Source organism: Homo sapiens, chromosome 14 (genome assembly GCF_000001405.40).
Source record: "Homo sapiens chromosome 14, GRCh38.p14 Primary Assembly".
NCBI classification, from domain to species: Eukaryota; Metazoa; Chordata; class Mammalia; order Primates; family Hominidae; genus Homo; species Homo sapiens.
The window spans coordinates 32,628,207-32,648,669 of record NC_000014.9 but is presented as its reverse complement, the minus strand read 5'-3'; the positions used below and the strand labels follow the sequence as shown (position 1 = coordinate 32,648,669).

At 35.4% G+C, this 20,463-nt stretch overlaps 1 protein-coding gene across 14 annotated transcripts in view; it reads right to left on the bottom strand.

The window, feature by feature from the left end:
* Positions 1-20,463, bottom strand: part of AKAP6 (A-kinase anchoring protein 6) — a 508,387-nt gene that overhangs the window by 189,015 nt on the left and 298,909 nt on the right. The gene's annotated exons all lie outside the window — the stretch shown is intronic.

Sequence of the window (20,463 nt, the reverse complement as noted above, 5' to 3'; positions counted from 1 at the left end):
ATGTTTACACTGACAAAATGTACCTCATAAAAGCTGTCTTCAGCATGCCTGGGTGCTTTTCTACAGCACTGATTCAAGTAAGCTAAGATACAGTTTCTACTGTCAGTTCTGTCAAAGCACATCTAGGCAATTGGAAACCATTTTCACTAAACATCAGAGCTGATAATGACAGAGTGAGAAGTGTAATAAACAAGAAAGGAAGACCCAATCCTTCTTGCTTAAGGTGCTTACCAAGAGGAATACCCTCCTATGTGCTCACCAAAAAGGCAATTCTGAAAATGATCACCGCTATTATTAACAACATAGTGCTAAAATACTAATTTCTATATAGGCAAATCATAATTCACAAGAAAGCCACAACCTGAGAGACAACCAATAGAAACAGAATATTACTCAAGAATGAGATATTTTTATTGTAATTTTTAAGCAAATCCAGCTCAAATAAACATTTTTCTAAAACGTCTGTTTTTGAAACAATTCCTTCTAAATTCTCCTCCAGCTAAGTGTGGGACTTAATGCATAGCTGGAAATTGCTGAAGTCACAGAAATGGGAACACATACAATTCTCATGCTTATGATACTGAGGCGAACTAACAGCCTCCTTTTGCATTACTTTAAATGAAAAGACAATTAAGGGAATTATACTGATCTAAAGACTCTTGATAAAGCCCTATTTTGGTACACTTCCTTTTGCACAATTTGCATTTTTTATATTGCTTAATGGTATACCTTTTTAGGGAATACTCTTGTGATGGAGAAAAGCCCGTACAGTCATGCTGATCATATGATACTTTGAATTGTTTGATTAACTTCAGGAGGGCTACTGATTATGTTTGTGCTCTGAATAACAAGGCATATTTCATAGAGTTGGGCAGACTAGAATTATGTTGGCCTAATGTCCCACAGGCATGAAGTCCTGTGTTTCAATTGCTCCAAAGAATAGTAACTTAGCACTCATGTGGTGCCAATATCTGTTGCCTAGATTTTAGCAGTCTGATTTCAACATTGTGGATTTTTTTTAAAGACTTAGAAATCATTGATGCCCCTTTATCCTGTCTTATTCATTATCAGAAGAAAACTTTGGCCAAAGCTTTTGCTAGACAGCTGCACTTAAAAGCTGAAGATGCCACTTAAATTCCGCTCAGTCTTCCTATTAGAAGATAAGGGAAAAGGGTAGGATGTATCCATTGGCAAAAAGAAGACTGCAAAAAGTGAAAGTGAGAGGGATTCTCAGCTCTTATTTTTCTTACCAGTTAAAGGAAACAGAAATGGTCATGTACCTCAGTTTTCTCATCTACCAAATGGAAACAATGCCTAAGGAGAACAATCTTCCAGCTCTGAAAGCACTGGCATCTGCAGATCTGAAGACCAATGAATACCATTTCTGAAATTACAATTGCATCAGAGGTTCAAATTTGCACAGAAGAACAAAGACTCAGAGATAAGGGATGTTGGCCTGAGCTAATATATACTTGGAAATTGTCACATTTCATTTTTATAATAATATATGAAGCACGGTTTTTCATAATACCTACTATTCCTGGTATTTAAACAGCATGCACTTGTCAAGATTACTAATGGTTCTACCATAAATTTACTTTCTTGACTATTGTTTTGGGATACAGTGACATGGTATGCCCTCAAATGCATATGGAAATACTTTCAAGATATCAAAATAGTTGTAGTGCCTTTCCTATGAACTTTAAGAAACTAGCAAGATTAGTAACTTTATTTTTACCAGTGATATATGACATATTTTAACTTGTCTATATACAAAAGTAGAGCTGTTAACAATTGCAACTTTCCTCAAGTATGCCATGAATCACTGTACTCCTTTTCCCTTTTTTCATGCACCATTGCCACTACCTTACCTTCAGCAGTTTTGCTAGATTTCAATGAAGATGGAACTAGAGGGCACACATTAGAATTTTATATCAGTTCAAGAAGGGGAGAAAAGAAAGACATATGAAGCCCGAATGACATTCATTGAAGGTTCCCTAGGGAAGATAACACATGTTTTTGTCTCTCACCTGCTAGGCATGCTAAATCAGTGCAATGATAAGCTAATTTATGAAATATATTTCATTGAAATCTGGACATCTTTACTGTTGCTAGTTCAGCCATTAGAATTTCAGGAATAATGGCAGCCTAATTTTTAAAACATAAAAGATTTGAATTTTCTGATATAACGCTTATGGTAGATCTTGCGTGCAGCTTCAGATTTCTAACGAAAATAATTGTTACTACACAGTTGCTTAGCCTAAACTCAGAATCTCTATTTATGTCTCTCTGAAACTTGTCATATTAGTGTTGAATACCATTATTTTTTTCATCACAGTGTCAAAATGATTGGGTTTGTGAGAATCTATATATCTGTTATGTACTATTATAGATCTATTATATCTTATTATGTATTATATATTATTATAGGTGTTCTCAGATACACAACTGACCTTTAGTTTTTTAAATGGTCCTTTATAATGTCTTATAGCTCCAATGTCCAAACTTAGCTTTTTACCCACTTTTTCAATACTCAATATTGACTCACTTTTCTTCAAAACTATGACTTTAACAAATCTATCAAGCAATCACAACCAGAAGAGTTGGCCTGCAGATGATAAGATGATTCCAGTGGTGCATGCTTCCATGTTTCCAGGTGGGCACCATTAAAATATAATGCCATCATGGTAGCCCTTGAAACCAATCTTGTTTCATTAGCAATAGAGCAGATAGTTTTTCATATAATCAATGCTTTCTCCGAGGAATGGCAAATTAAATGTGGATCAAATTAAAAGCATCTAAGCATAAAATTAGAGTCAAAACAAGAATTTTCCATTAAAAAGTGCTATTCAGCCTTGTGTGATATTTTTCTCAAAGACTCCTTTTCCCTGCCAGGCTCTGATCCTCCTGCCAGGTTCCCAAGAATTGTGTATAAACAGTGTCTGCCTCCTTTATCACCCACCTGCTCCTCTTGCCAGACTTACTTGAATTCAACACAGCCCTGGTTTGAGGCATGTGAGCTCATCAATACAGGAGTAAGTTCCCCTGTCACTCATTCTAGGCAGTGCCATCAAGAAATATACAATGTAGGTGGGTGTGGTGGCACAAGCCTGTAGTCCCAGCTACTCAGCAGGCTGAGGAAGGAGGATCACGTGAGCCCAGGAGTTCAAGTCCAGCTAGGGCAACAAGTGAGACTCCGTCTGTAAAAAATTAATAAATAAATTTAAAAAATAGAAACATAAATGACAAGAGGAGCCCAGTTATGAAATAGATTGTCTGTTTACCCACAAATATATTGACAATCAGCAATGATGGGAAAATAAATGCAACAAACATTACTGATAGCTTAATGGGATTCACATAAAATATTCGAGGTTGAAAATGTCCTCGGTGCTACGTTGCTCTTTTAAGTGTATTCCTTCTAGGACGAAATAGCTTTGCCTAATACTATATATACAAAAAATTATTGGGTTTTTATTTAATAACCTAATTTTCCTATATACAGAGTCAAAATTTAAATAGAATCTAACCTTTTAAGATCAGGTCCCTATAAAAAATAAACATTCTTTTTCTTTAGTTAGATAATAGCACCACCTTTAGCTGTGTACTAATGCATGTTTTATAGCAAAGATGATAGAAGATTTAGGCTGGTCACAGAAATAAATCCATAAATGAGAGAGGACTGGCTTGTAACTTCAGTGTTTGAATGATCCATTGATTATGGTATATATACCCGTTAGTCTGTCAAAGACCAGAAATATCATGCTGGCTTTTTAGAAAAGCAGAGGTCTATCCTGACAAAGACTGAAGGGAATTTTATTGGGTAATCATATGGAGAACTATTGAGCTCTTTGTGAATGCAATCAGGGACATTAATTGAGAAGGACAAAAATAAATTATATATTTAGAGAAATGCAGACATTTCAGTTTGTGATGGTTGGTGAGGAGAGAGAATAGAGAAAAGGAAACAGAGGCAGAGAGAAACAGAGGCTAAGGGATTAAAAAAAATGTTGGTCCCCAAAATGCAATAGAGAAATAAAGCCATCCACGGCCTTGTTATACAGACTTTGTGCAACTTTATAGCAAACTAGGAAAAAAGATTTTGAGTACTTAAAACCTTTTTTACTTCCTAGGTCAGCAGAACTCTCAGGAACATCCTAGAAACAAACTCCCCTGGGCACTATTTACAGAGATCAAATGGATGTCTCAAGAAACCAGCACCATGTTAATTCTTTGCTCCAGCATTGCCAGATACAACCTAGCTAGGTTAGAAATTACTGACAGCTTTCCTCTCTGATGCTAGCCTAGATACACTTGGTAGAGAGAGAGAGCAATGACCTTCACAGAAAATGTCACTTCTCTGGATATTATCTGACAGCATTTGGAGTAGCAATTTCTTATTCCTAACACCCCTTCAAATTCCTGAAGAATAACTCCAACTCCATTTGGACTAAGCTCTGTGTGGACATTGCACTTACAGTGCCTTTGTATCATTCTGTGGCAAATAGTAGATCACCAAACAAAATCAGACCATTTAACATCAAATGATCTGTTAGAAATGGTCTACTCCAGCAAACGTCTCATCCTCAAGGGTCTGCAACTGAGTAACTTTCATAAGTCAAAATTATGTGCTCTCTAAATGTACACACATGAGCATCACAAGACTCATTAATATTTCAGTGTGTCAGGTGAATATATCTACAAGAAATAGGGGGAAAAGGCAAATAACTGCAGTCAGCATTATGAGTTTATTTAAGCCTACAGATTGAATCCTAACAGAAGATGAAGAACTATGCATTTTTAATTTCTATCTCAGATGGCTTAGTCTGAGCAGAGAATCAAGACTAAGTATCAAGGTCAGTACAGTTCACATGTCCATTTTCATAAAGGACACGTCTCTGTCTTTATGTCTTCCTGATGACATACAGTTGGCATAAGGAAAACCTGTAACTCTTGTTAAATAGCTCAAATATTTAAAAACAACAACAAAGAAAACATGCTCATAAATCAGGAGGGAGAAAAGGAAAAGGGAAAAGGAGAAAAGCAGGTGATAAAGAATGTATGGGCCAGGTGTGGTGGCTCATGCCTGTAATCCCAACACTTTGGGAGGCCGAGGCGGGCAGATCACAAGGTCAGGAGTTCAAGACCAGCCTGACCAACATGGTGAAACCCCGTCTCTACTAAAGATACAAAAATTAGCTGGGCATGGTGGTGGGTGCCTATAATCCCAGCTACTCAGGAGGCTGAGGCGGGAGAATTACTTGAACCCGGGAGGCAGAGGTTGCAGTGAGCCGAGATCATGCCACTGCACTCCAGCCTGGGTGACAGAGTGAGACTCCGTCTAAAAAAAAAAAGAAAAGAAAAGAATGTATGAAGAAAATGAAGAAGGAGAGGCAAAACAAAAAGAAGAGAAGGTGGCAAACAGAATACCTTTCTCAAGATAATATCCATCCTGGTAGATGGGTTTTACCATTGATTCCTGCTTTCTACTTTCAGGGCTAGAAGATTTCAGTCATCCATTAGGACAACACAATGATTAATAGAGTCCCTTTTAAGAGATTCAGAGCATTAATCTTACTTATTACATTTGTTTCATAAGAGTTATATTGAAATGTACAGATTTGCTCTAGTTGTCCTAGTAAGTCTCGATTTATTCTTTTATGCTGTCATGAAAACTTTTTTTATTGTAATGAAAACATTCTAATACTATGTGAAACTCTAATTGTATTGCCAATTTCCTTGTCATATGGTATTCCCATGGTACAGTATTAATACTGATATACTTTAACTGTGCTTCATGTATAAATTTATACACACAAAGGCATATCCATTTTTTAATGGGATTTACCTGAGTAATGTTAATAGGGAATCACACATGTAAATCCTTGTGCATCGAAATGAAAATATATCTCTACATATTCTCAAATAAGGTTTCTTGAGGGATCATTTAATGTTTATGGGGAATTCATTTATATTTGTAACCAATTCTAATCACCTGAAGGTCACAGCATGTGGAGTATTTTTTAAATGCTCCTTTCTGCGGTGAATGAACGAAACAGACTATGCTCAAATTTGTTGCTCTCCTCTGAGCCCATTTAAAAATGAGATGCCTAATTTTAAGGACATTTTCCCTCTATGTAAAAAATAAATCAACTTAGTGAAAGAAAAAACTATACAGCTGCCAAGTATATGTAAGTTCAAAAGTTTTTATATTGCCTGAAATAGAGACGCATGAAATTACATTAAAGTTTTAAACAGAAACAGAAGTTTTCAGCCAACGTAGATCAAAATCTATTAGCGATAAAATTGTTTTGACAAAAACTGTGTAAATACAATGCCACTGGCTGCAAGCCTATTATTGAATGCAAGTGGAAAATAGGAAGAGCACTCCTGAAGGGGCATTGCTAAAGTGACACAAAATAAACACAACCATTTTGGTATAATTTTTCACATTAATTATGTTCTCTTATCATAGATGTATAACTAGCCAAGTATAACAACAATAACAAGATAGCACTGAAGTTATTTTGCAAACAGGAAAAAGCAAATAAAATAATACTGATATGCTAGTTATTAGATTACTAGCCTTTTATCTTGTGGAATAGCTTCCCTGAACAAGAAGACTATATTAATCATTTCTATTCCTCCAAGTAAATGATGTTATACTTTTGGAAAAATAATGTTAACAGTCTTTTTCCTTTAAGATATCTTCATGTATTTGCCGAGTTGCCATTTCCAAATCTCTAGTCACTGAGAACATTTTCAAAAACAACTTCTAGCATAAGAATATTCATTTTTTTCTCTTTCCACATTAAAATGCAATCCCCTAAAAACGTGTTCCCCTCCCCCATTTTCCTTAGATGGAATTTTTGTACCCATTCTTCACAATTTTATCAAGGAAATACCTAAAAATTACACCATTTTTAGTTTCCTCAAATAAACTGGCCTTTCCTTAAGTTCCAATTGTAGCTCTTGTTATTTCTCTCAGGGTAAAATTTAGGGACCACATGAAATTCAACCAGTCTCCATCACCAGTCTTCAAGGATTGTCCTCTGGAAGCCATTGTTTCTGTTCATTGCTCTTAGAAACAAGCCCAAATCTTAAGTCCAATAGACTTAGTTAACATAAGTCCTTCAGCTTTACTTAAAAAACAGCAAGAAAATTTCTTTTCTTTTCTTTTCTTTTTTTTTTTTTTTTTTTAGCAGGGTTTCACTATTTTGCCCAGGCTGGTCTTGAACTCCTGAGCTCTGGCAATCCTCCCATCTCGGCCTCTCAAAGTGCTGGGATTACAGGTGTGAGCCACCACACCCAGTCAAAATTTTCTTTTTCTTTGGCTAAAAGGTCCTAGTTTTCTGATTTCCTTTCTTGTATTGTATATTATTGTATATTCCACTTCTTCCATTTATATAATTTGCATTCTTCTTTTGCTTTCAGTTCTACCCTCTGAACACTAAGCATACCAGATTTAATCAAATGCACACCTGATTACTCATTACCATCATAGATGGAGAATGGGCATGTTTTTATCAGTCCCAAAACATTTTCAGTGAAAAAAAAATTCACAACGACCTTCCAGAGAGTAGAAGAGCAGTAATCTATTTCTCCTGCAGTCTCATTAAATATGGTATCCATGATGTGCCTTGAAAGAAATCTGAGGATTCTCTAGGTGGTACATCCAATTGCAGTAGTTTATGAAAACACATCACCAAAAGGTCATCAAAGGGAAATGGCAGCAGCTAATGATTCCTCACTTATGTATTTTACATCTTCAGACTTTTGTTTGTATATTTCTTTGTTTGTACATTTTTGTTTGCATATTTCTGTAACAGAGTCCTATGCTACTATTACACAGATTCTCAGTAGTATTTCTGTGTCATTTCTGAATCACATTCTTTGAAGCTTAGCATTCATAAGATTTAGAACCTTGATCTCTTTGGAGTATAAAAGGATATCAGAATATACTACTGGAGGTACCTAAGATTCTCAGTCAATCGAGGGTTATCTGTAAGGGCTAATGTGAGCACAGGCAAGAGCAAGTTGGTCTCTATTTACAATGTGAGGCATGTTGAATAACTGGCTTATTTTAAGAATTGATTACAACAGGTGTTTACATTTGCATTTTATTTACATAGACATTTATCAATTGTTACAAAAGAAAATTGTTTACTTTCATTTCCTTAAAATATGAGAATAAAAGACACGTTGAGAAGAAAATTGGCAGATCATGGACCCCAAAAAGAAATAACAGAACTCATTCCTCTCTAGGGCCTAAATCAAAGCTCTGGAGTGATTTTAAAATGTTTTTAAAATGCTTTTTAAAAATGATTTAATATAGTGAGTTGAGATACATTACATTAGATATAATTAGACCTAGACAGGAAAGGTGGTTCTGAGAAGCTAATGAAATATCATTAAGGTTGAATATAAGATTGTTGATTAGGATAAAGCTAATCCTGATTAGGATAAACAAGATAGGAGCTACAGATCTTATTTTTCCTCTTATTTATTTTATGAGTGAAGAAGAGGTGTGCTATCTTGCCTTTATTGAAAATAAAAAAAATGAAGAATATTATTTTTTGTATTCTGTTAAAATACTCTACCATAATAATGTCTTTTCCATTTTATTTCTGGGAAGGCATTTGCCTTGAGATGTATCTATATTAAGGTAAAATATATTAACAAAAATGGAGTTTACTTGCTGTGTATTTTGCCTTCAGAGTGAAGAACTACAAGGCCCCAAGCAATCTGGCTGCTCCTTCCATCCCAAATCTCACCCCACACCCAGTCCTACTTGCACTCTCTTCCAGTGCCATGGTCTTTCTCCAGTTTCATAATCACTAATACTCTTTCAGCCTGAAGACATTTTCAGTCCGCAGCCCCTTTCCCTGTTTAATGTCTAATCATTGTTTAGATCTTCCATTTTGCTTCCTTGGTGAACACTTGCCTAACCTCCCTGAGTGGATCAAATTAACTACTAGTTCTTCTAACACTTTGGACTTCTCCCTTGTGGTATTTTTCACAGGTGCAATTTTTTGTTTATTTGTGAAAATGTGATTACACTCTATCTTCCTCAAGCCTCATGAGGGGACAAATCCTGTCTGGTTTTGCTCACTATTGTTTCCACAAAAGCTTGGTGTGATTTCCAGCACATAGAAGATACTCAATGAACCCTTGACAACTGAATGAATAAATACACATATGAATGATTCTTTTTATTGGGATTGTTGTGCTATATAGACACATTTCACTTACTGTCACCCCAATAGTGCTAAATAGACAATTAATCATTAGCTCTTGTCTTGAGATAGATGAAGATGGCTATAGCATCCTTCCTCTAAAAATCTGACATATACTTGAAACCTTCTATTCTCTGAGAACAAATATCTCTATTCTTTAAGCACATATCAATGATTAGCCACAAACCATAAGTTCACGTACATTCATGCAAAAACAACGCAGATACTTCTGAATCATCTATAACTCCTTTAATCATCTTCAGGGCTTATTCCTAAGTGTTAATGGGTCATAACATTAGTGTGAACCACTCAATAGCAATAGCATTTAAATATCATATATTGTTTGTATGTCAATTATCCATGCTGTTGAAAGAAAACCAAAGTAAATCCTATATATATATGAAGTCACCTAGATTTTGAAATTTAGGAAGTGTTATTGCTATCTCAGAACCAAAATTCCCACTAAAACACACTAATTCATAAAGCATTTCATATTCTTTGTTTTTCCCCTATACTTCCATAAGATATCATTCATTCCCTCATTTTAGTCTATGTTTTTCTGGCATTATAGTTATATTATGTTGTATATTATAGTTATATATATTATGAATATTAACAAGTCTGTTTTCTTATCTATAACAATCTTAGGAGTAGGAACCAGGTTCTGTTCATTCTATACCACCCTTTACCCTCTACCCTACCAACAACCAAGAACAGTGCTTTGGTAGTTAAAACTCAATATATGTGTCTTATATGGAAAGGAGGAGAAAAAGAGAGGGAAAGAGAAAGAAAAAAAGAAAGAAAAGCGGTCTTCCTACTTATAATACCATTTTGTTTGGATCAGGCCATTAGATAATATCAACTTTTGCAGCAGTTATTTAACAAAAACAATTTTTTAAGGTTTCATGACAATATGCAATCATCTCCTGATTGTATGCTCATTTCTTCTCACTATTTCTCTCCCTCAAATATCTGGCTGAAATGCTAATACACGGTGAAATAGGAAAAACACTGGAAGCAGAAGAGAAAAAGAAACAAAACACTGGCATACAAAATAGAGTTGAATATATTGTCCGTTAGGCCACAGGCTGCTGACATTCTCCAGTGCCTCTGCCCTTATCAGAATGGAAGTTTGGGACCAGTTAACTCTACTATGCCTCTCATCCTTGCCGGTCTTCATCAGTACTCAAAGAGAGAGACCTTCTTATGTCTTTTCACTTACTCTCACCCAAGTAGTGCTCCCAGCTCATATTCCCCCTTGACATCCCCACTAGCCCTTTCCTTAGATGTAGAGGCTGCTCGGTCTTCCTCTCTCCACTCACCATAATATGCACAAGACAGTCAGTCTTTGTGTTCTTATAGCCTTTTCCAAGCCACTGTTTCTTTACCCTAATTTAAAAATATGTCCTTTGAAACTCATACTGAGTGTCTCTGTGTGACTCACTACTGGATTCATTGGTTGAAGATTATGGCACTTGCCCTGGGATCTTTGTTTCTCCCTCCTCCACCCACTCCCATTCTGCTTCCGACAATTCCAGTGTAAGTGATATTGATTCTTCCCACATCCCAGTTTCTTGGCTTCCTCAGTTCCGATGACCTACACCATTCTGCAATCAACTCCCATTATCATATTTTTGCCATATCTAGAATGTAAACTCCCATGTCCCACACTGTAACTACAAACTGATTCTCCCAACTCCCACTCTCCACCCTCATCTCATTGTTAATGCACTTATTCTTTCCAGACAGGTCCTAAGTAACTCTAATCCCTGCCTCTATATCAGCTCTCTTCTGCATTCCTGTTTTTTCAACTTAGATCTCATGGTTCATTATACCAATCTACCCCTTGTCACTACTTCTGGACTCTTGACTTGATTGCACATAGTCTTATATGTTACAAATACCCCAAAACAAAAACAAAAATAAAATAACAAAAAAACTTATCAAACATCTCCCTTTGGCTATGATATTATTTTCCTCCTTCCCTTCACAGTTAAATATCTTGTTAGAGTCATCTATCTTTTCTATAATTCTTCACTCTAAATTTTATTCCTGAACCTGCTACAATCTGGCTTCTGGCCTTCAGAATCAATCCTTCCTCTAAAATTACCTATCTCAGAATATAATGCTATTCACTCATTACTTCTTCAACAGCCTGCGCTGACTACATTCTTGCTTTCTTCCCATCAGTTACCCCATTCTGCTGATGTATTATGACATATCATAAGCTAATATTTATGAAATGTATTCTACGTACTAGGCCCTATGTTAAGTGGTGCTTTACATTTAATCCTTCCAACACAACCTATGGAGTACACAGTAGGAATAGTATTCCCATTTTACAGATACGGAAATTATAAATAGAGATGATAGGCTAGGCCAAGGACTTTTTACCTCCCTAACATCTCTTGGATCCATCCTGTCTTCTCTATATTGTCAGCGTTACTGCTTTGAGGCTCCACCTTCTCACTGCCTTCCCTGACTCCATTTTGTGTCCCCCAACCATCCTCTGCACTGCTGTTAGAGACCCCTCTAAATTGCACAGCTGATCATGCCACCCCCTGCTTAAGTACCTTCACAAGTGCCTCTTAACTATCAGTGGTGTCACACAAGTCCGTTCACAGTCTGCTCCTCTCTTGCCTCCTGGCCTCATCTTATGCCACTTACTCCTACTCCTACAGCCCAGTGGAATTACTTATTGTTTTCCTGCTAGTGTCATGCTGAACACTTTCTGAAGGCATTTTCACCTGACTAATTTTTATTCATTCTTTAAAATTTGATTCCAGCACACCCTTTCAGAAAGCTATGTGATTCCCAGTGTAGACATCCTTCTCTACCATTATGACTTACCACACTGCACTCACAGCACAGAGCTATATGTCACTCTCTCACACTCAGCTATGAGTAACTGTAGGGCTAGCAGGAACTTTCCCATCTTTGAACCACGAATGCCACTCTCAGCACCTATCTATATAGAAGAACTCGAATATTTACTTCTCAATCTCATCTAATTTAGCTGCCTTGATTTAAACTCACACATCAAAATAATGTTTTTCAAAATCTATCATACACCTAAGGAAATTTAAAAAGTAATTTTCCGGTACAACAAATTATGTTTTGATAAGTTAACATTCCTAATGAAGACAGCACCCATGAATCTGGAGTAAAACAGACATCATTTGCTTGTTCTGATGGGCAAGCAATTTGATTGCCAGCAATTATGTTGTATATGTATAGATGTTTCTGCACATGTACCATTTGCTGCATTTCAAAATCTGTTATTTTTAAAGGTATAGATTTTTGGTTTAAAATGTATAATAGGGAGCACGTTTATTTTAACTAATTTTAAAAATAAGTGCAAAACATTTCTGGGCAAAATACAAAGTCCTTACAAATACTAGTCTATATACAACTGGGAGAAGAGACCACTATTTGCATGTAAATCAGTAAGCTTAATAGTGGATTTCAGTCTCTTGAGAACTATCTAACATAAAGCAATGAATAAATTGAATGGTGCTGCACTGCTCTGACAAAAGCTAATAAACATGGCTTTATAATATCCTATTCTTTGAAGTAATCTTCTCTTCTACCATTATTTGGTTTAACCTATATATTCCTACAACCTTCACACATAGATTCATACTTTTAAAAAATAAGTTACAATTAATCACTCATTTTCAACATTCTTTATGTGTTTATTAAAATATGTCCATTGAACACATAATTTTCTCATAAAAATGTTCAACATTCTTTTCTCCCACTATAATTATCAATTACCTTGAACATATCCACTGTCTATTTTTACCAGTGTTATTTCAGTCAGATTTTGTGGTAATTCATTAATCTAATCTAGCTACAACAGTAGCTCCCAGCTCTAGGACAGCTTCCTAGCCACAGCTAAATAAATAAATGAGTTCTCTGTTGAGGGTAGTACTTTCTAAAATTACTTTCGATTTCATAATTACAGATGGATCAGTGATATGCTTGTATCATGTGATCCTTTCTTTTTAGTGATTGATACAAATTAGAATGGACAATAAAATATCCATATGGAGCCCCAGTTACTTATTTTGTCCATAACTTATGTAGATGTTAATCCCTGAAGCAAGGATTTTTACTCTAACTATGACTCATACAGCAAGCTTTTCGTAATTCCCTGTTCTTCACAGTTGCATAGAATTGGCAAGCTGCTTTTCCTTGCTCCTATTCCCCTACTAAAATAAATTGATTCCCAGAGTTTCCTGGAAAAGCTGTAATTTTATTTTCCAATCTGAAAATAATTAATAAAGTACTCAGCAGTGGGTCTCAAATAATACAACTTGACCTTGGCAGAACATACACTTTATTTAGCTAGGAATGATCTTCTCTTTCAAAATTCCCCTGATTAAACTCAGCAATACTGAGGGTCACTCTTGAGTTTACACTGAAAACTAACCCCATGATGGGTACACCAAAATCTCAGAAAGCGCCGCTAAAGAACTTACTCATGTAACTAATCACCACCCGTTCCCCAAAAACTTATTGAAATAAAAAAATTAAAAATTAAAAAAAAAGAAAAGAAAACTAATCCCAGTACAAGCCTCACTTAATATGTTTTTATCTTAACACCAAACCTCTTGTTATAACTACAGGATTCTTTCAAATTTTAGGTCTATTTAGGAAAAGACTTGGATGACATGACAGATGTCAACAATTTTCAGAGCTGCTTAAAAGTAATATTCTATTAAAACTATGGCCATTTCTGCACTGACTGCACCCCTACTCCCTATCACCACCCCTCCAAAAAAATAACTGGCTCTCAAAATGAATAACCTCAACAGGGTAAATATTATCGATTAATTAGACTGGATAGCCATGATGTCCTCAGCCTATAGGATACAGAGTAGGTTTAACTCACTGTTTGCCTTCAAGAAGATTAGAACCAGGGATAGCCTAATTCACAGGAAACAACAATGAGAAAGTAAAAGACACTATCAAAAAAATTGTAAGGGAAGACTTCATAGAGAAATAAACTTTGAACTCAAAGTTGAAGTTTGGTTAGGATTGAGATAAGTCAGAAGGCAAAAAAGCATTCCAGATAAAAGCAACAACCAGTTATCACTTCTTGAGCATTTACTATGAGACAGGTACCACACTAAGCATTTTATATGCCTAACATCAGTTAATATTATAGCCCTGTGAGTTGGGTACTCTTATTATCCTTCTTGAATTATCCAATTTTAAGGAAATTGAAGCTTAGATAGGTTGAGTAACTTGTTCAAGGTTACCCAGCTAGTTGGCACTGGGACCTGGGTTCAGTCCCAGGCTGAATCCAGAAGCTAGTTTTAACCACTGTATTCTACTGCTCTAAGCAGATGTGTAGAGATTGTGAGACAATGAGGAAACTGGCTCAACTAGTGATGGAGGCTGTGTGGAGTAAAAACAGAAAATAAGTTTGACACAGAAATTAGACTATAGGCTTGCCTTGGAAATAGACAAGTTTCACATTTAAAATAAGGAGCCATGGAAGATTTGTAAGCTTCCTTATTTGTGACACGAACGATATTGGAGGAAGACTTAGAGATGGGAGACATGAAGAAGTGCAGCCTGGTTTGCTGAGGTTGGGGAAACACATGGTCAAGCCTTTGGTTATTGTATTTGGTAGGCTTTGCTGCAGTAACAACCCTCCAATGTTAGAGGCATAGGAAAGCAAATGTTTACTTCTCACTTACATTACATGCCTGCTTAGGATGGCTGTGAGTGGGTTGCGGGTTTTCTCTATCTGTCTTCATTCTTCATTCCTGGATGCAGCTCCTATTTGGATATGCTATTCTTGTGTCAGAAGGAAAAGAGCCAGAGAGCTAGCGGAGACATGCAATGGCTCCTAAAGCATCTGCTCACTTACCATTGTCCAAAGCTCATACCAGCCAAGCTAAAAGTTGATGGGGCAGGGGTGCATCCTCCTCCACAGGAGGCCTGCAAGTCACATGGTAATAGACAGGGGTGTATAATCCTCTTACAGAAAAGGGGAGTGAATCATGGGAACAACAATGCAATCTACCAGAGTAACCCTGTGCTTTTTGCAGATGCTGTCACTATAAATTAAAGCAACAGACCAAAATGAGTAAACTTCGTAGAAGGGGATGAAATCTCTTGTTTTGCCTGGATAGAGGGCTCTGTCCTAAAGAGAACAACTACTGTTCTATTTCCATATTTTCTGATGTAAAAGCCTTATGCTGTATGATTTTATCATTTTGTGCTTAAAAATCTGTCAAAGACTGAAATGTGAATCAAAGACAGTTTATATGAATTGATGAGGTGGATATGAATCCTTTATACTGTTTCATTACAATTAAAATGAAATTAAATTAGAAAAAAGTAAACAGAGAAAAGACCCAGTTAACATGTGTCCATACTTTCTTGATTTTTCTATCCTAGATAGCATTACATTTAGAATGATTTTACTTGCTGATTCTTTGTGGCTGCTGATCCGATAAATTATTCCAGTCTCATACAAAATATATGTGATACAAATGAGTGATAGTTAAGAATCAACTAATCTAACCACATTTTGGTACAAACAAGTTACCCCCAAATATGCAAATGATTAAATCAAATAAAAATGATGTTCTTAGAAAGTCATTTCCAAGCCTTTCTTTGGAATTTTTTAAAACATATAAAGCTAGAGTCTGAATCTTAGCTTTATGCTCTCTGATTGGTTTTTCCTGTCCCAGTCTCTTGCCCCTGCTCGTCATTTATAGCTTTCAAGTCCTTTCCAAAAGGTCAGTGTTTCTATGGTCCAAAGCCCAGATTTTTGATCCCCTTTTCAGTTCCCCATCAAGCTCTCCTGTTTGGATTCTTGGATATAGATGCACATCTCTGCAAATTTATCATTTCCTCTGAGCATAAAGTTTGCTGATACTAGAACATTCTCTTTAAAGATTAATTTTGCCTGACATTTAATTAGAAAATGGTCTCTCTTCTTTCTTGCAATCCTACAAAATATTTTATAGGAGAAGCCCAAGTTCTCCCATGACACAAAACTTGAAAGTCTAGGGAAGACAACATATTAGGATGTATGGTAGGCATTAAATACTTAATAAACATTCATAGAATAAATGATTAGACAAAGGCTAAATGAATTGACTGATCATTCCAGCAGTTAAGATCCCCCTATACAGCAAGAGCTCCTAAACTTTTATATAAAGGCAATTAAAAATAATTCGACATATGTTTTTCACATAAGATGCTCACTAAATATTTGTTATTGTTTACCTGGACAAGAAAGGAAAAGTATAGTAAATGGTTCATAGCAAAACAGACATCCCAGTTACAACATCACTTCCTAACCTCCCTCATTAAAAACAAAAAACAAACAAACAGACAAACAAAACACCAAAAAATGTTTATAAGCCTTGAGGGAAAAGAATGAATATACTGCTGAAAATCCTAACATTGGGAAGAGAAAGTTGTCTCACGTCCATCTTCTAAAATGCCTTTTCCTAAAACTCTGTAGAATGCTAATACAATGTCATCAAGGTCCAAAAAGCCTTCTTTGGTATTATAATGATCTACTACATGTCACCATGCTTATGAAAGAACATTAACAACTCACAGCCTAACCACATCCAGAGTGTATTATATTTGCTTTCTTAAGACCTTTACCTAAATTGACAATCAAAATGTTGTTGTAAATTTTAAAATCATTTTAAACATCTCATTTACGTGGCAACTTCAACAGCTTATTCTAAGGCTACTTTCTGCAGAGTAACTCAACTAGCATCATGAGCTACATCTTACTGGTAAAATGCTATAGTGCTGGGTTCAATCATAGCAAAGAAATCTGAAGCACTGGAAGAATATAAATAGAATCCAATCTCTGTATGCGGTAATTACTGCTCTCAAGAGATCAATAAATGTATTTCTCCTGGTTTTGTACAACTACACAACTGTAATATCCAGTGTTTACTAACTTTCTTGCCATATTTGTAAAACCTATTTAAAATATAACCAATCTCAGCCTTAAAAAATTATAAACTATTCAATCATGAAATCCAATCAGGAAATCATAAAGTTTCCAAGAAGGCATTCTGGAAAGTGGAAAATCGATAAATATAAAACCTGTCATTATAACATCATGAGTTTGTTTGCATAAGCACAGAAGTGGTGCTAATCTTAATCTTACACACAGGGTGCTAATCTTAATCTTATATACGGGGCGCTCAAAGAATAATTTTTTAAAAATAACATGGTAAACAACAGATGAGGTATTTCATATGCCATATGAAATTTTAGTAAAATAAATATGAGAACAAATCTCTCAAACAAAACAAAATGTTATTTGTGGAAAATGAGACATGGAAAGTATATTTCTTAATAAAAATATGAAGTATAAAATATCTTGATCTAATTTAAATCTCTCCATGTAATCTGTGAATTTTTAAAAATTCAACAAAACTATTAGCAGTAGAAAGAAAGACCAGAAGGATCTTCAGAATGCTACATCAGAATGCTGTAATGGCTACAAAAGAAGCCAGAAGAATATCTGCTGACTACATCAGAATGTTAGCCAACCTTGTCATTTGGTGGTAAGATAGTTGTGATTTTATTTATTTTGTATTATTTTCTGTACTTTCCAGGTTTTCTTCAATGAGCATCTATTACTATTAATATCATAAAGAAAAATAAATTATTTAAAACATTAAAAGAACTAACCCCTTTGTATCAGGAAAGGGTTACATTGTTACATAGACTTTACACATGCCATGTAGAAGGGCTTACCTACCCTTTACCTCAAATTTCAAAGAACATTAGAGGCTCGCATAACAGGTTATAATTTCACTTCTGTTGGGATCATTGCTTGCTTCTAAGTCCTAGCAGGTGACAGCCTTGATAGGAATTTTTTCTCTCTGGTCCAAAAGTATCTCCTTTTTTCCCCTGAACTACTGTAAAAATTATTGCAAAATGTCTTGGAAAATAAAATCAATGCTGATACCCAATTCCATTGCATTAAAAAGTTTTTCATCAAATTCTACAAGTAATGCATTATATTGCCTTTTTTTCCTTACAATAGCAACATGTGGTAATTTCCAACATACTGTTATTATAGTTGAAAAAAAATCTTGCATTCTCTAATGTTGAACAATCAAATAAGCTGCTTATATTCTAACTGGGACTTTATTTCTAATTCCAATTTAAAGATGGTTTGAAGTAAATGAAGTGGGCCTATGAAATAAGATCTTCTCAAAGCCCAAGTTTAAGATGAAATGAGATCTTCAATTAAAACGTCTACGTGTTAAATTGTGACAACTTATTTAATGGGAACAAGAAGAGGCAGTTGAGAGCTGGTACTTTGGCCTGTACACTGGAGAAGAAAAATTCACACACCAGAATACATTTCCAGATCCCACACAGAAATGGTCATTTAAACCCAGCTATTGGGAGGCAGTTTTCTTTTCCTCTCATAATGAGGTCATTCCAAACTAACGCTTTAGTAAGTCAATGAATTATGGCAGAGTATTATCATTCTTTTTTAAAAAAATTTAATTTTCTGTAGAGACAGGGTCTTGCTTGTTGCCCAGGCCGGTCCTGGCCTCAAGAGATCCTCCTGCCTCAGCCTCTCAAAGTGTTCAGATTACAGGCATGAGCCACTGTGCCCGGCCAGAGTATTCTCATTCTTATAAAAGACATAATTTCAAGTCACACTGAAGTATTGAGTTATATTTAAAAATCCAGGTTCTAGTTCTTCTGGCTTCCTGACCAAAAAAAAAAAAAAAATGCTTATATGCAATTAGCTTCACTTGAACTTCTCATAATCTTACTTGTACATTCTCTTACTAGCAACAAAGCTTAGGGTTGGCCCCTCACATTTATAAGAGAGACCCACTTACAGCTGAGCATCCACAGATGTGTGGCTAGTTCAAGCGCCCAGTTCTACAGGCTCTTGGGGGAAAATATACTCAAATGGCTTTCACATTGTGGAAAAAAAAAAAAAAACATGACTGCCTTCTTTCTTTTTCTTTCCTTTTTTTTTTTTTTTTTTGAGAAACTCGCACTTCAGCAAAACACATTGTTATGCTGTGTTATGATGCATGATGTTTTCATAGTAATGTGACACGTTTAAATGACAAAATGCTGGCTATCTACCAAAAATGTAAAATAGCTTAAGTTCTTTTCCAAAGGAAAAAAGGCCATTATCAATTCTTCTAGCAAATATCTTTGCTGTAAATGGCAGCCAACCAACTTAACAGCGAATCTTCATAAAGTTTATGATTACAAAGAAACAAAGGGTTTTAGGTATGGACGATTTTGTTTATGAAATTGTTCACTACCCCAGCTCCTTCCTTGTTGGCTCACAGAGGTAAAATTATGAACCTCGAAATTATCTTTCTTTTGTTCCTGGAGGAGTAGTAATAGAAGATTCCCTCCTCAAACGGCACATCCCTCCCATTTCTCTAAGAGATCTGACTGCAGGTGGGTGGTTATTTTTATTTAGAAAACAGCTTATTTATAAATCACGAATGGTAAAGTTCTGGCATTAACTTTCATTTTTATTTGGCTTAACTTAAATATTTTAACAAAGTGTTCATTTTATTCTGACTTTTCACAGATACTGCTACCTTAATAGAAACAGCAACACACAGATGTGTTTAATTTTTAGGAAAGATAACATTCCTTAAAATTTAGAGAAAAAAAAATCTGGTGTTTTGGACTTTTTTTCTATTTCCATTGAGTTGCAGAGAAAGGAAAAAAGGAAGGAAGAGAAAAAGGGAGGAAAGGAGATATATATTATGTTTAAAGGCCTGGCAAATGCGTGCAAATCTAGCCATATAAACAGGCCTTTTCACCTTAAAAAAAATAAAAATAAAGGCAAAAACAAAAGACAGAACTTCCTTCCTTTCTTTTTTTCCCTAAACCTTTCAGTGGTCCAGGTTAAAATTATTTCCTAGAAATCTTTCACCCAGCCCTAATTCTAATAGAAGACTTCAGAGCAGCTTGTGTCTAATAACAGCTCTGTGGAGGCCCTTGAAATTCTAATAAAGACCCATCAACCTATCAAAAGAACATGTAATTTTATGTTCATTACTTCTTGGTGCCCGACTGTAGAATTTGGATGGTTGCACCTCAATTAAAAGTTGAATTGAAGTTAATATCATTTAAATAAAAACTTCAATAAAAAGTTAAACTTCTATTCTTAATAGCTTTAATACCCTCTAATGACTGCTACGGTCATTACCACCAGATAACT